Raw genomic sequence first — 15,187 nt, 5'->3', positions numbered from 1 at the left:
AAGAGACTGGAAATCCCAATAGGGTATAGGATATGAAAATGGGATTCTTTGCAAATGACTCAGGGTGAGGTTAGTGATTCTGAGACATCTAGAAAGTGAGTTTGGAGGTGTGAGGTTGTTTGTGGGAGGGACATTTTCAGGTTTTAGAGAGGAAGTGGGAGGAATCTCTTGGGGATGGCCTGATTTGGGAGGGAGCCTAGAGGAATCCCAAGAAGAGCGGGTTCTGGTGAGCTGTGAGAATATCTCCCAGGCGCCTCCACACACTCACTTTTCATTACAGTGGATGACATTTCAATGAATGCCTATCCCAGAAGCTGGGGATGACAGCTCAAGTCACGACTGCTGCATGTCTGCCCCAGGCCAGGCACCAGGCGGAACACAGTCTGTGTGTAACCAGTAGCTAGCATCGAACCAGCACTCCCTCCATGCCAGGCTCTGAGTTAAGCAAAGGGAACATAGAGTCCCTCTCCTTGAGGAGTTCATGATCACACCAAGGAGATAGCGCTTAGATGCCTGGAAATTCTGCACAAGACAGACCAGAAAATCCTCCTGCAAATGAAACATTAGACAGCGTTGCCATGGGCAGCATAGCCTCTAATTTTTCTCCTTGTGCAGACCACACACCTTTCTCCCACAGGGCCAGAGAAAATGAGGCTGACCTCTGGGGGAGTCTGGCCTTATGCAGGTTAGGCAGGACACACACTCCCTGTCCCCAGCCTCCCAGGCTGGGCCATATCCCCCAGGTCGCACGGTGGCTGTGAGTGGAAAAGGCCCACCCCAGCTTCCTCCTCACATTTACTCCACTTCCTGGGAGGGAGGACGTGGCAACTGAGGTGGCTGAGTGCTAGGCAAGCCCTCAATAGCTAAGGCCAGGAGAACCCCTCAGAGTGTCCTGGAGCATTGTTAGAAACAACCCAGAGTCCTCACTCACAGCCATGAATTTTTTTTAACCTGCATATCAGAAATAGGAGCAGGAAAGGAGTCTGGGAGCATTCAGTCTCCCACACCCTTGTCCTTTTGCACAGAGGTTGAAGAAATTTCGGATTTGAGCCCCTTGTGGGCCTCTACTTCTCTCCAAGGAAGGGAGGTGAGACTTCCACTCAGCAAGTCCCTTCAGCATTCACAGTGCAGATGTGCGGAGGTCTTCACACTTTAGCATGAGGGATATAGTGTAGACATTGGGGAGAACTTAGAATTGGGAATTTCTTTGCCATGGAAAGCATCCCCTGCATTTACCTTTTTCTGGAACAAAAGCTTGAGCTCTCCAGGGCACATAGAGCAGTGCTGTCTGGAGGCAGCAGTAGATCCAGACTTTTCACCAGAACCATTTTGGGATGCCAGAGGTCCCACCCCAGGGGCACCAGTTCACTTGTCTGAGGTGGGGGCTTAACGTCTGTATTTGTAATGTATGGGGGCAAGGATAAATTAGGCAGCTTCTGAGTGGGGTGCTTTGAGCTCTGAAGGAAAGTGTTTTCTAGATCAAAGGCCAGCCCTAGGCTGTGCTCTGGGAGGGCTCCTGCTCAATCCTCTGCAGCTCTGTAGCCTGGGAATACCAGCTGGCTGCCTGTTTGGCATCATTGGTTGTTGCCTGTTTGGCATCGGCCTTGACAAGCTTAGCAGCAGTCCTCATGCCCTCTTTGGAATCAGCTCCTTATCTGCACAGTGTTCCCTGGTCCATCTGAATCAGACCTCAGGCACTTTCTTAGGAGCTCACAGGCCCTTAAGTTGCAGCCCCTACCAGCTGCTATTGAGCCACTTCCGGTCCATGGTGATTCCCTGTGCTCTGGGAAGGTGTCCAGTCCAGGAGGGAGTGCACCTTACAGACTGACAGGCAGCCCCAGCTATGATGGCCTGCACACCCACACAAGCCTAAGGATCGGCAGCCTGTGTTGTGGAGCCTCGAGGACAAGGAAACTGTCCCCAAAGCTTTTCAGGGAAGAGATGTCATCATGTCACTGGCCCTGCCTCCAGATAGGGCAGCAAATAAAGCCTCATATTCCTGGCAGGTGGTCCTTACATTCCACAGAGTTCTTAGTGACCTTGGGGAAGGCCTCAGCTGCATAGTTCTTGAATGGTAGGTTGCTTAGATTTACCAGAGGATTTTTAAATTAAAAGGTAGTTCCCCCTCCCCTAGGGAGTCTAAATCGGTGCGTCTCAGGGAAGGGGCCCAGGAACGTGCACCATAACACACATCCCAGGCGGTTCTGATACAGGCAGGCTGTAGACCACACTCTGAGAAATGCTGCTTTAGCCAGTTCTTCCAGAATCAGTCAGCCAGCAAAAGGTATATCCCATGGTGCCCTTCCAATCTGGAATGCTAGTCCTATTCTTAGGGTGAAGTTCTCGGCGAGGACTCTAGGTGACGAGGTTGTGACTTAATCTAATGCATGTCTTCTGTGGGTATATTATTATGTTGAGCATATTGTTAACATTGCCCTGAGAGCAAATTGAAAAGTGAGGACGGTTTGTGCTCTGTGTACACCATGGGCATGATTTGTAAACCTGACTAATAAAAAATGGTTTGCTTTATAGAATAGGATAAAGCTGCAAAGTTGGTTTATACAGGCAGCAGAATCTAATTTGGAAGAAACCATCCATCTTGAAAATCCAATCGGCAATTTCACAGCCTTTGCAGAATTTTCTACAAACTCTTACGTTTTCCTTTCATTCAGCTCTACTCTAATCATGCATGTATGTGTGTGCACGTGCATGCGCCCACGTGTGTGTGAGAGAGATGGAGATGGAGAGAGACAGAGATAAGCAGATAATTACAGAGACTGAGAGAGACTGATTTCAGGGGAACAAAACTCTAAACAGGATTTTTCTAGTGAGAGCTTCTTAGCTGTCAGAGGACTGCAGCTGCCTGAAGAAGGTGGCAGAGGGCAGTGGGGAGTCTAAAACCCTGTTTACCATTCCCATTCCAAGCACAAAACTGGCTGAGGCTGAATTTGCTTCCATGTTCTTCTCTTGCAAAGAGCAGACTTCTTGAGACTTCTGCAGTTGAGGGTCTTCATTCTGTGATCAGCACGTTGAGGCAGGGGGTGGGAGGGAATGTGGGTAACATGGGGGAATGGGAGTCAAGCCCCTCCCATAATCTTGCCTCTCTTTGGCCATGGCAGTGTGGACTGTTGGCCCCATAACCTTGCTCCAGTTCGTGCTCACTCCCCAGTTGACAGATTCCAGGTGTAATTTGGAAGACTGACAATTCTAAATGCAAATGTATGGAGTTATCTATTTTACAACCTAGGCTGCTGGGCCAGACATCGTAGTGATGTGAATGGAACCATGGGACCCAAGTCAAGGCCTGGGTTCTGCCTGCTACTCTGACCCTTGGAAATTTGGTTACTTCACTGTTTTGACCCTCATTTTCTTCACTTGAAAACCAAAGGCATAGGGAATACATGAGCTTTATAAGCTTTCATTCTGTGATGGGGAGGAGGGATTCTCCTTCTCTTTGCATCTAACTTTGCAAACCGGGAGACATAATTGATCAAACCACAGCCCCAAAGACACATGCAATCAGAATGGCAACTCTCCAAGGCCAGGGGCCATTTCTGAAACTCTGCCTTGAGTTCAAGCTCCTGAAATGTACCTAAATTGTAGAGAAATGCCATTTCCTCTCTCCAAGGCCAAGCCTACGCTTTCATTTACAAAAGGCAGAAGCTACATTTTTCTTGGAATGATTTCAGCACACCCCTGCCTACAGCCTAGGCAGGGGAATGGACGACTTTCTAAGACCCTCTGAAATCCCAACAGATTTTATTTAAAAGGGAGGACAAAGGAGAGAAAAAGCAGGAAAAAAATCTTTTGACCAAGCAGTATTCCACAGCAGGAAGGCCTTGGCCTATGTGCCGTTAGCTGGAGCTCCAGTGATGTTGAGTATTAATGCCTCGCTCCGGCGTAGCACCTTAACTTGCCATGTGCAAAACACTTTGTGAAGGTTAATTAATTTTCACAGTTCCTGTGGGAGGCTGGCAGGATAAGTTAACGCTAACTACATCTCACCTTGTAGTTCCCTGCAAATTATCTCTAAAGGCCTCTCAGAAGCTACGCTTTGTATTTACATTAGAATAATGAATTCTTCACCCCTATATCCTTGTTTCATATCCCATCTGCCTCCCATCCTTAGCTCCCCAGTAACCCAGCACCAGATGTACACATGAGCGTGTGCGCGCGTGCGCGCGCACGCGCACACGCACGCACACACACACACACACACACACACGCAGCCGTCCTTTAGGGAGGGACATTTGCCAGAACCAGATATCTTGGGTGAAGATGTTTAATGCCCTGAGCTGGACCTGGGTTTTCATCTGGGTTTTCAGTAGGACTCATTCTTTCCAATCCACTGTTGCCCTTATGGCATCCGCAGTATCTCACTGGTACTCTCTCCCCTCTGCTGTTGAGAATCTCCCTATTCTGAACTCACCTCTTCTTAGCTTTTCCCCTGATAACTCCCCCCTCCTCCCCACCACCAGAGCAGGTAGCTTCCTTTACTTCCCCCTAGCAGGGCTCTGAGGTCACAGATGACCATCAGCCAGAACCTAGGAGGGTTCTTTTGGGTCTGCCTCATAGTGCATGGCTTCTTCTATCAGTTCCTTTCCTCCCTGCCACTATAGCACTGGGCTCAGTACTCTTAGATGCTAAATTACACAGAGAGTATAACTTCAGTCGAAAATATTTTGCCCAGAGTCATACTGTAAGAAGGGCTTCATCAACACTTTTCAATGTTGGTGGGATGTATGGACTTCTCTCTCCACATTTAGTCTTCTCTATTGAGCCTCGTCAGGTTTTATCCACCCTGTGTCTTCTGTCCCCAACTCCTTCACCATTCCTGCACACATTTCTTCACACCACATACAACAAGCTGCCACTTGATCCTCCACCCCCCAGTTTCTACTTGACCCTTGGCTGACATCTGAAGGAGCTATAGAGCAGTGGCTCTCAGAATGGGGTCCTTGGCCTCTGGAGAATCAGAAAACTTATTTAATTAGAATTTGTTAAATGCATCTTATTGTGCTAGACACTTCCACATGCATTATCTTTTTTAATCTTCACAACTTCTATCTGAAGTAGGTATTACCAACTGATTTTTCAGATATAGGACACTTCAGGCTTACTGAGGTAATGTGACTTATCCAAGGCCAGAAAGTTTGTAAATGTCAGAACCAAGACTTGAACCCAGACCTTCTGTTTCTGGATCTAATGAACTTTGAGGCAACCATACCTGTGTCAGCAAACGGTCTGTGACCTAGACTACCCTGAAACATGCCAGAAGAACTACCCAGCTATCATGGGGAAAGAAAAGGACGGGGAGGATAAATATTAGTGCTCATGACTGTTGCTAACTCTGGTCCTCCACATCTTTGTCCTTCTCTTCCACTGAGAACTCATGTCTCTTGCCCTCACTCTTCTTTCATCTACCTCTTCTTCGTCTCTTCTGCGTTACATAACTCAAAATGATTAGGGTCAGATGGTAGAAAATGAAATAATTAAATAGATACCATTTGAGTTCTGGGAGCCAGGTGAAGAAGTGTTTGTTTGTTTTTGAGACGGAGTCTCACTCTGTTACCCAGGTTGGAGTGCAGTGGCCTGATCTTGGCGCACTGCAACCTCCGCCTTCTGGGCTCAAGTGATTCTCCTGCTCCAGCCTCCTGAGTAGCTGGGGCTACAGACGTGTACCACCACACCTGGCTACTTTTTGTATTTTTAGCAGAGAGGGGATTTCGCCATGTTGGTCAGGCTGGTTTTGAACTCCTGACCTCAGGTGATCTGCCCACCTTGGCCTCTCAAAGTGCTGGGATTACAAGCGTGAGCCACTGTGCCCGGCCAGAAGGAGTGTTTTGAGAATGGCTAAGAGAAGATAGGTTGAATAGCTATGCCTACATGTCACTAATTAACATCTCAGAGATCTCTGCTACAGGTTGTCGTCCTCATTTTGTCTAATATTTTTCCAATGGCATGAGTATAGGAAGATAAACGGGGAATGTTTTGAAGTAATAAAAAAATTCCATCCATAAAGAAGAACAACATGTATTAAGCTTTGTGCACCAAACAACACAACAGGAAGACACATAAGGCAGAAGCTTTTAGAAAAAATAAAGAAAACTTAATAAAAAAAAAGACTTTAGACTTTAACAAATTTGCTTCAGATTTGACACATTAGTCAGGCAAAAGTACAAGAAGGATATAAAGTATTTGAAGCCATCAATGAATACACTTTAGAGACGAATATAGAATTGTGTGCCTTACAAATAGAATATATATCCCTCTCATAGAAGTTGTACAAAAATTGATCATGTTTGTGGCTACAGAGGAAAGATAACCAATAGATTCCAAAACCATTTCTTACTATAATATAATAAAACTAGAAACCAATAGTTTGTACCTTTTAATAAACTGTCTTTTAAATAACTCTCAGATGCATTAAATTATAAAAACCAACATTATAGATTATTTAGCCTACATCCTGATTGAAGATTTAAAATGTCAATGAAACTTGGAAGGTCATTGAAACACTGCATGACCAACTGAAACCTATTAGCATAGTGACAGGCTGGAAAGATGGACTAGAAATAGCAAACACAAAATCTAACAGCATTACATTTGAGATGTTGCTGTGTGTTCAAAACGCCAATGGCAGAAGCACAAAGTGGAGGAGATATGATTCAGTAGTACTATCTTTAAAACAAAAATGATCACACAGACATAAAATTTAGAGATTTTAGTTGACGAATGGGTTCCACATACGTCAACTGTAATGTGGCTGCCAAGAAAAGTTAATGAGGTTTTAGGCTGTATGAATAGATATGCAGCATCTAGAACAAGAGAGGTAATAGTCAGCTCTAATCTGCACAAGTCCAACTCATACACTGGGCATTCAGTTTGGCACTGCCGTGGCTTGAGAAAGATCATTACGGCCCATCTGAAGAAGCATGAAGGGAATTGTAAAGGGATTTGTAAAAAATCCATGTGAGACACAGTTGGAGGAAGTGGAGAGGCTTGACCGGAACCCAAGGCAACTCCTTGAAGTCTTGATGCCATTCTGAAATACATGAAAGGCTTTTATGCAGAAGAAGAGTAAGGTCATGGAAAGACAGATTTCTGTGAGCCAGAATATCCCAAAGATGAAATAACTGCTTAGAGAAACAGCAAGTTCTCTGTCACTGGGGGTATTCTAACCTAGTCTGGGTAAGTCCTTGACGTGGTATTGTCGCAAGAATTTTAACACTGGAAAAACAGGTAGTTAGATCAGACAAACCTTCCAAATCTGAAGTTCTTTAACTCCCATGGTATCTAGTATTCCCTCGAAATGGTCCATGAGCTTCTGAGTTCGGTACCCAAAATTGTAAATTGAGTTTTTACAGGTTTTTGGCATTAACATTTTGAGTTCAGGCCCTGTGGGTGACATAAATGCCTGCGTGTTTATAACCTAATTGAGACAACATGAACCCAAATGAAACAGTTGTTCAGGACTATTTAAGATTAATTGTTAAATGATCAAATGAAGACATATGCTGTCATCTGAGTTCAGAGAAGGGGTCATGAGGGTTGGAATAGATGGCAAAATCTTCACAGAGAAGACTTCAAAGTCCATTTATATGCATTAGGCAATAGAAGTGGTTTTAGAAATTGTGGCAACGAGGATGTATATGATAAGCAAACATGATGAGTTGTCTCTTTCCCCTGATGGCAGAATATGGCGAGCCTTGCTGAATGTGACTCACCATATGTGCACATCTTTTTAGTGTCTCTTGCTGCCACTGCCCGCGCAGCCACTGCGGGGCTCCTGCAGACACAGGCTCCTGGCTCTGCAGCTCCTGCTCACACACAGCCTGGGTCTCCAATGGATTGGTCTGACAGGCACTTTTATTGACTGAGTTATTTCTTCTTCATCTTCCCAATTGCATCAGCCTTTCCAAACCCAGCAGGCCTTTTATCCTTGAAACCAAGACTCTCTTCCCCCTGGGGAGCACTGCCCTTTGTCCTCCACAGTCCATGATTAAAATGACAGGAGTAAATAATCCCTTACATTTACTGAGGGCTCTGTGGTTCTGACGCTTTTCACATCCACTCTCATTTGTTCTTTATGACAATGTAGGGAGGAACATAGGGCAGGTACCGCCTCAGGATGTGAGGAGGTCAGAGCACTTACCCAAGGTCACACTGAGGAAAGGAGCTGGTTCTGGGATCAGAATGCAAGTCTTCTCGTCCCTGCGCTGGTTTAGTGACATGACTGGTATGCACAGCACCTTAATCTTCCCCATTCCTGGGATTAGTGTGTTCTAACCGAGGCTTCTCATAGTCATTCAAGCCTGGAGAGTCTCACAGCAGACCAACTTTCCAAAAGCTTGCTTCCATATATGAGTCTGGTTGGGCCCAGGATCTCTGATGCCCACCTGGAATCCTAGGGCTTCTCTGTGGTAGGCCTAGCCTTTGTGAGTGAGGGCTAGGAGGAGGCACTCTTCAAACCCTGTATCTATCTTCCTGCCAGTTATTTTTTAGTGGTTTGTAAAATAACTTAATTCACATACCAGCAAGCTGGTATGTGAGCATGAAAAACTTAGAGTGTGTTAATTTAATCAAATAAAAAGTAGATCAAAGTTACTATAGCACATTTAATTATATTATAGAATTAATGCCCCGCATGGTTATTAGAAATAAATAGTAAGCCGTTTATATGAATAACTTTATATGAATTGCTTTAGCAGAGCCAAATCAATGTTTAAGTTTCTCTCATCTTACTTTATTAGTTTTACCGTATTTATATAGCTGGAATCTCTGTCTAAAGTTTTCCTTGATATCATTTACCATCTAGCATCTGAGTTTCTTCAAACACAGGAAGGTCATTCCAGGGACCAAGAGAAAACATCTTGCTTTCTGAAAGTTCCTTCAAACTGTATCTGCTTCTGTCACTGAAGTATCAGGGTCAATAGCATGAGCCTTTTTCCTTACTTTCCCTCCAAGATTTTATTTTAATTCTTATGAGTTAGCTCAGAGCAAAAGTAACAATCCCAAACATTGGTCATTTAACAAGAAGAGATTTCTTACTCTTAGCCAAAAAGAGTAAGGGATGCAGGACGTATCCATGAAGACGGGGTCCCAGCTTGTGGAGGTCTGGGAGGACTGTCATCTCTTGCTGAGCCCACCCTGGACCGTTACTGTACAGTCACTCAAAATCAAGTTTCTGGTCTTGGGGTTGCAGCCAAGCAAGGGAACTCCAAGGCTGTGCTCTGTGATCAATGCCCCTGACCATGGAGTCTCACACACTGTTCCTTTGTCTGGGTCAGATTTGTGGTTTCTGTAAAGCTGGAAGGATGCCAATCAAAATGACTCCTGTTCATTGTTCACCTGTGCACATGGTGAAAATGCTCTCCCAACAGGTGGCAGGTGAGAAAGGGACAGAAATTGGGCTGTGGCAAAGCCTTGGACAGCAGAGAAGGTCTGGTCCTGGATTGGAGGCCCAAGTGGACATGGGAGTTAGGGGTTAAAATGATGGAGGGCTCAGGGGAATAAATATATTCCCATCCTTTATGTTCAGTTCAGAAATCTTCCTAGTACCTCTTAAAACTGAGAACCAGGGCTGTTTCCTCAATTATTGAAGTCCCTTAAATAAAGGGCACAGTGGGCTTGCCATCATTTAAGTTAGAATGGCAGGGGCCAAAATTGTGTGTGTGTGTGTGTGTGTGTGTGTGTGTGTGTGTGTGTGTGTGTGTGTGTGTGTGTTGCATGTTCAGAACAGGCCTTGATAGCCACATTAGCCTGTTCACAGAGCCTGAAGTTTCCTTAACAGGATGGGGAGAGGATAGGGAGTAAGGGCCACAGAGAGGGTCTTTCACTGCATGGTCAGCAAAAAAGGTATGAAAATGCAACTATCTGGGAATGTTAATAATTCAGTGTGGTAACTCCCAGTTTCAGTTCCAATGCTACTACCAGATCTTTCCTGTTTGAATTTGGAGGGGCATTGAAGTTGGATGTATCATGGGGAGAGGGGGGAAGCAGAAAAGGGTCATCCGTGGGGATGACCTACAAAACTTGTCCCCATGGCTGTGTGTTTGTCTTCATCTCTCTATAGGCTGTGTGTTTGTCTTCATCTCTCTAGGTACTTACTTTCTGACGGGGGAGAGGAAAGAGTGGGAAAAGGATGCTGAGAAGGAGAGTGGGGATGAGGACATCTCATTGTCATCGCCATCCTCCAACCAGCCTCGCCTGTCTCACACTGTCTGCCTGTGCCCTGGAGCCTGAGATGGCACAGGCACTAGACATTGTCGCTTTTGCTTTGTGGTGGGGGGTGTGGTAGCTCTTGTTGTCATCATCATGGAATCTCTTGAGAATCTCATGAGAAACATGGATCACACAAACTCAGGCATACAGGGAGAGTCCCCTGAGAGTGCAGGGTCAGAGGGTCCTGATGTGGACAGGCAGAGAGAAAGCATGCAAACAGGGACAAGATAAACCAGGAAACGGAACAGGAAAGAAACCCACACAATGCAACTTCATATAGTCTATGAGCGTGGAGATCAGCGGGAACAGGGATGATACGTCTGGCAGAGGCCTGTGGGCTTGTGTTGAAATAAAGTAAAATAAAGGGAGATGGTCCAGGGAAGCTTCACCGAGGAGCATAGGGATCATCTAGGAGTGATGGCTGGGGGACAGAAGGAGGAGAGGCCACATGAAACCTAACAGTTGCAGGGGCAGGTCTCGCAAGGCCTCTGTGGTCTGCATCCCTTGTCGGGTTAGCTGATCATGAGGGACTGATCTTATAGCGTTGGCTGACCTGACCTATGCTGTCACCCCCACACCCACAGCTCCAGAGTTGGGGAACTGGTGTCTGAGCTCCAGGAGCTACCGCTGTGGAGTAGGGGAACCTCAATGAGACTCTCCTTTTGCCACCTCTGTAGGAAAATTGCTGCTTATGATGAAGAAATCCAGCATCTCTATGAGGAGATGGAACAACAAATCAAAAGTGAGAAGGAGCAGTTTCTCCTGAAGGTAAGTGTACGCTCCCCAGGCTTGGCTCTGAGGCCAGCTTGACATATCTGCTCTGTCTCCCCCAGGTTTAAGATTTTGGTGCCCCCATCCATGCACTATTGATTCCCTCTTTCTCTGCTGTATTTTTTTTTCAAGGCATTTATCACCTTCACACAGGACATGTAATATCCTTGTTTATTTTTATTGAGTGTCTATCTCCTCCTGCTAGCATATAAGTTGCAAAAGAGCAGAGATTTTATCTTTTATTAACTAAGGTATCCTCAGCACATAGACAATGCCTGGAACATACTAGGTGCTCAACAAGTGTTTGTTAAATGAATGAATGAATGAACAAGTGAATGAGTGAATGAATGAAAGGATGGAGGCTCATGCTTTCCCTGTTAAATTGGATCTGACATTGACTTCCTAGATTTATATGGCAAATGCACCCAAATGCACCAGCCCAGTTCACCCTGTGCCCAGCAGCTCCCCTAAGTGGACAAGCATTAGAGCCTGTGCTACCTATCCTTTACCCTTAGACACATGGAAAATTTAATAGCCAAGAAAAAACAAATCCCACCTTCCACAGATACCACGGAGGAAGTGGTAACTCCCTTCCCTCTTCCTGGTCTGACCCTTATCAGCCCCTTCCCAAGCCCTGCCATTTGTCTCAAGAGGTCAGGATTGGCGAAATCCTCTTCTTTGCCAAGGTAAGCAGGATCCTTCTGGAAACATGTTCATAAAACTAATTTAAAAAAAAAAAAGCTTCAGAGAACTCTCTAGTACCCATTTTTGGACTATCTACTTGGTGAGTTCTCTGCAGAAAAGGCTTTGATCTTAGATGGCAGCCTCCCTTGCCGCTCAGCACTAAGCCCGGCTATTCTCACAACCCCTTCTCTTGAGCCAATTTTAAGTTTTATGCTGCCTCAGATTATCGACACCACTGCTGCATTTATTATCACAGATGTCATTCAAACTGAGGGAATCGGAGTGCTTTTCAAGAAAATCTGGTCGTGTCCTCCAATTAGCGCCCTCTGGAGGCTTGTCAGCATTTCCAGGCCTCCTCCCTCTTGTAGCGCCTGAAAGCATTCTGGCTGCTCCTGCCCCTCAACCTAGTTGACGGCAGACAGAACTCACACACTTCTCATCAGCAGATCCCAAAATAGTTCCTGAGAACAGCAGCTCCCCACCCCACCTCCCCGCCATCGGACAGCCACCCCCTTTATCCCGAATGACATCCTGCACAGAGAGGCTGAGCTCCATGGGGCATCTTGTCCCCTCTGCCTGGGCCATGACTATAGGTCAGAGGTCCTAGCTAAAGGAAAAGACGTGATTTTGGAAGTAAATGCTGGGCCAGGGCATGGGGAATGGGCGAGGGCAGAGGTCAGAGGAAAAAAATTCAAGGACAAGTTTGCATCACTGTAGGTGACCCAGCCTCCCTCTCCCCTTCTGCTCCCTCCTTCTCCCTTCTTGACACCAAATGCCTTTAAAGCTCAGTGCTTAGATTTATGCCTTCTGGGTGAACATGGAAACTGCTCAGATGTTTTTGCAGCACTATTAAGCCATTAGATACAAAGGCTTTTGCCTGGAGATAGATCAAGGATAGTGGTGCTACAGTTTCTGACATCATGGAAAAGGCTGGACCCTCGGACCGGAATTTGGATCCTGGCTTGACCCTTACCAGTTTGTTTGACCGTGAAGGAAGTACCTAATCACTTGCACCTTCCAACCCCAGGATGTGATGCTACACCCCCTGAACGCCCTGTCCTGGCGCATTGTGAGGATGCTCTGTAGGCCCATTGTGGGTACAGCCACATCATCATGGGGATTCTGGAGCCGCTCGCTGCTCCCAGCATTTTTCACAGAGAGCAGCAGCCAAGCTGAAGGAGGCAAATTCCCTGGGGCTGATTCTCTGGAAGCAAATGTTGGGAGCAGGTGCTGTCTGGTCAGATCGTACCTCTGCCATTCATGTGGTTAACATGAGGATAATCACAGGCTGTCCCAGTGGTTCTTCTGCCCATTTACCAGCCTAGAAATGGGCAGAAGAACCTGGTAACATCCATAGAGGATGCGCAAGGAAGCATCCTGCGCCTTTGAATGGAGGTGTCCAAAGGCCTCTGGCCCGAGGGGGCCGTGTTCCCCCACCGCGCTGCTGCTGCTGTCATGCCAGGACACCCGTCTAGTGCAGCATCCCACGCTGTCCTCCTTGGGAAAGAGTCCTTCCATATGACAGGAACCCCAGGGGGCTCCGGTAGTGAGTTATATGGCAGTTACAATGGTTTCTTCTCTTCCTGCACATTTTGTACCTCCATTCCGCCTTCAGGCAAGTGGAGTGCTGCAGATGGCATGGGTATTTTTGTTTCTATTCTGTGAACAAACAGTGATCCAAAAGAATGAAGCAAGTTGGTTGGATGAAGCCAGGGCTGGAACCCAAGTTGTGTCCCGCTCGGCTCAGGGGCCTTACACCACAGATCTGGCTCTGCTGAGAGCATCAGGCACCTGATAGCCCACACACTTTCCTCCTCGTCCCATAGCCAGGCCCCTTCTCACCTGCTTCAGCACCTCTCTGTGGGGGAAGCCCAGCCTAGGGAAGGAGCAGATATTAAAACATCCTGAGGAGCAGGGCTTGGGAGACTTCAGTCACAGTGGGCAAATATGAACACTTAGACCCTCAAGAGGAAGAGGAAATGGCCCTGTGTTTCCAGAGTGAGGCCAATTTAAGGGATCCGATGCCAATGCCCAACCTGGAACAGAATATCCAGGTCGGAAGGTGTCCGAGGGGTCATCTGCCTCCCCCAGTCACCCCCAATTTGCACATGAGGAGACCAAGGCCTGATGTTTGAACTCAGCCCCAATTCTCCCCATTCAGTGTACCACAACTGGCTGACACTGCCCCTTTTTTGGCGGAGAGGAGGGTGGTGGTGCACAGTCATTGAACATGGCCACGCTTGCTGGGAGTTTGCATCCTGCCTCACTAAGCGCTTGCACTATCTCTGTCTCATTTGGTCCTCCCTGATGGGGCAGGCAGGTTACCAGAGCCCTGCAGTGCTGTGGGAAAAGCCCCATGGTCTAATAGGATGGGCCCTGATGTTGAGTAGGTTCAAGGTGGGAAAAAAAAAATCTATAACCCGGGTGTGCTACATTTGGGTCCTGTGTGTCCCTCTTTCTGGCTTGGCAGGACACAGAGAGGTTTCAAGCCCGCAGTCAAGAGCTGGAGCAGAAACTGTTATGTAAGGAGCAGGAGCTGGAGCAGCTCACCCAGAAGCAGAAAAGGGTATGTTGCCATCCATGGCCCCAGAGTACCTGGCTCTTCACTCTCTCCTTTTCTCTGCCTCTTGCCCACTTTCCCTGCCATTCACTTAAGGACTTTTGAGTTTTTAACCTGAGAAGAACTATTTAGTCGCGCAAAAGATAGCATTTAAAATCACAGGTGATCCCAACATAAAACCTTTACTTCTCCAATACCAGGTGTTTCACTTGGAAAAGTTGCCGAGCATTCCCCCACGAGGTATCTGCAGACATGTTCCTATAATTATACCCAGGAGCCACGAGAATGCCAAAATTTGAATTTGTTTCCTGCCTCCTGTATAAGAAAAGAGGGGAATGCTGAGGTACAAGAGACACTGTCTACCACTATATCTGGGGGGAGGCTGCAGATAAGTTTCTTCCCTCTAGAATATGGCCATGGATACCTCTGCTGGAACAGGTTCTTCCAAGGTCAGCCTGTCTCTTCCCTGGCTGTGTGGTGCCTGGACTGGTTCATTGGCATCTTTTGTGGCTGCTTCCATCCCTGCAGGAAGGATGCAGACACCAGACACTCCTCTCTGATGTACCCGAGCCTCCAGGAGGCAGGCTGGGTGGTGCCCTCTGCAGGGCAGTGTCTATATGGCTGTGTCTCTATGGCTGGGAGTACCTGGCTAACGACCCCAGAAAGACTGACTACCTAGGCAAGCCTCCTACTTAGTGGCCTCCACTGCTTAGCAAGGGCTCCTGAGGGAGACAGGCTAGGGTGCCACTGGCCTCCTGTTTTGTTGTGCCTGGTGCTGGAAGGAATCCAGCTCTGGACAGACCAAGACACATTGCTTCCGTTTCAATAGAGAGGGCTATTTTTAGCAGCACATCAAAATCTACTTGAAGACAGCCCTGCTAAGACTAGAGACTATTCCACTGCTGCTGCTACCCAAGCTATGAATTTAGGTCTCTTTCCTTCTGCAGC

At 46.9% G+C, this 15,187-nt stretch overlaps 1 protein-coding gene across 16 annotated transcripts in view; it reads left to right on the top strand.

Moving 5' to 3' along the window:
* CRACR2A (calcium release activated channel regulator 2A) overlaps window positions 1-15,187 on the top strand; it is a 137,782-nt gene that overhangs the window by 82,554 nt on the left and 40,041 nt on the right. For all 16 annotated transcript variants that reach the window (XM_011521034.4, NM_001144958.2, XM_006719021.4 and 13 more), the window contains 2 exons: window positions 10,902-10,992; window positions 14,150-14,245. In XM_011521034.4, the coding sequence (XP_011519336.1) occupies window positions 10,902-10,992; window positions 14,150-14,245 (187 nt within the window). The remainder of the gene's footprint in view (window positions 1-10,901; window positions 10,993-14,149; window positions 14,246-15,187) is intronic.

The sequence above is a fragment of the Homo sapiens genome, chromosome 12 (genome assembly GCF_000001405.40).
Source record: "Homo sapiens chromosome 12, GRCh38.p14 Primary Assembly".
Lineage (NCBI taxonomy): Eukaryota > Metazoa > Chordata > Mammalia > Primates > Hominidae > Homo > Homo sapiens.
This window is presented reverse-complemented; position numbering and strand designations above follow the sequence as displayed.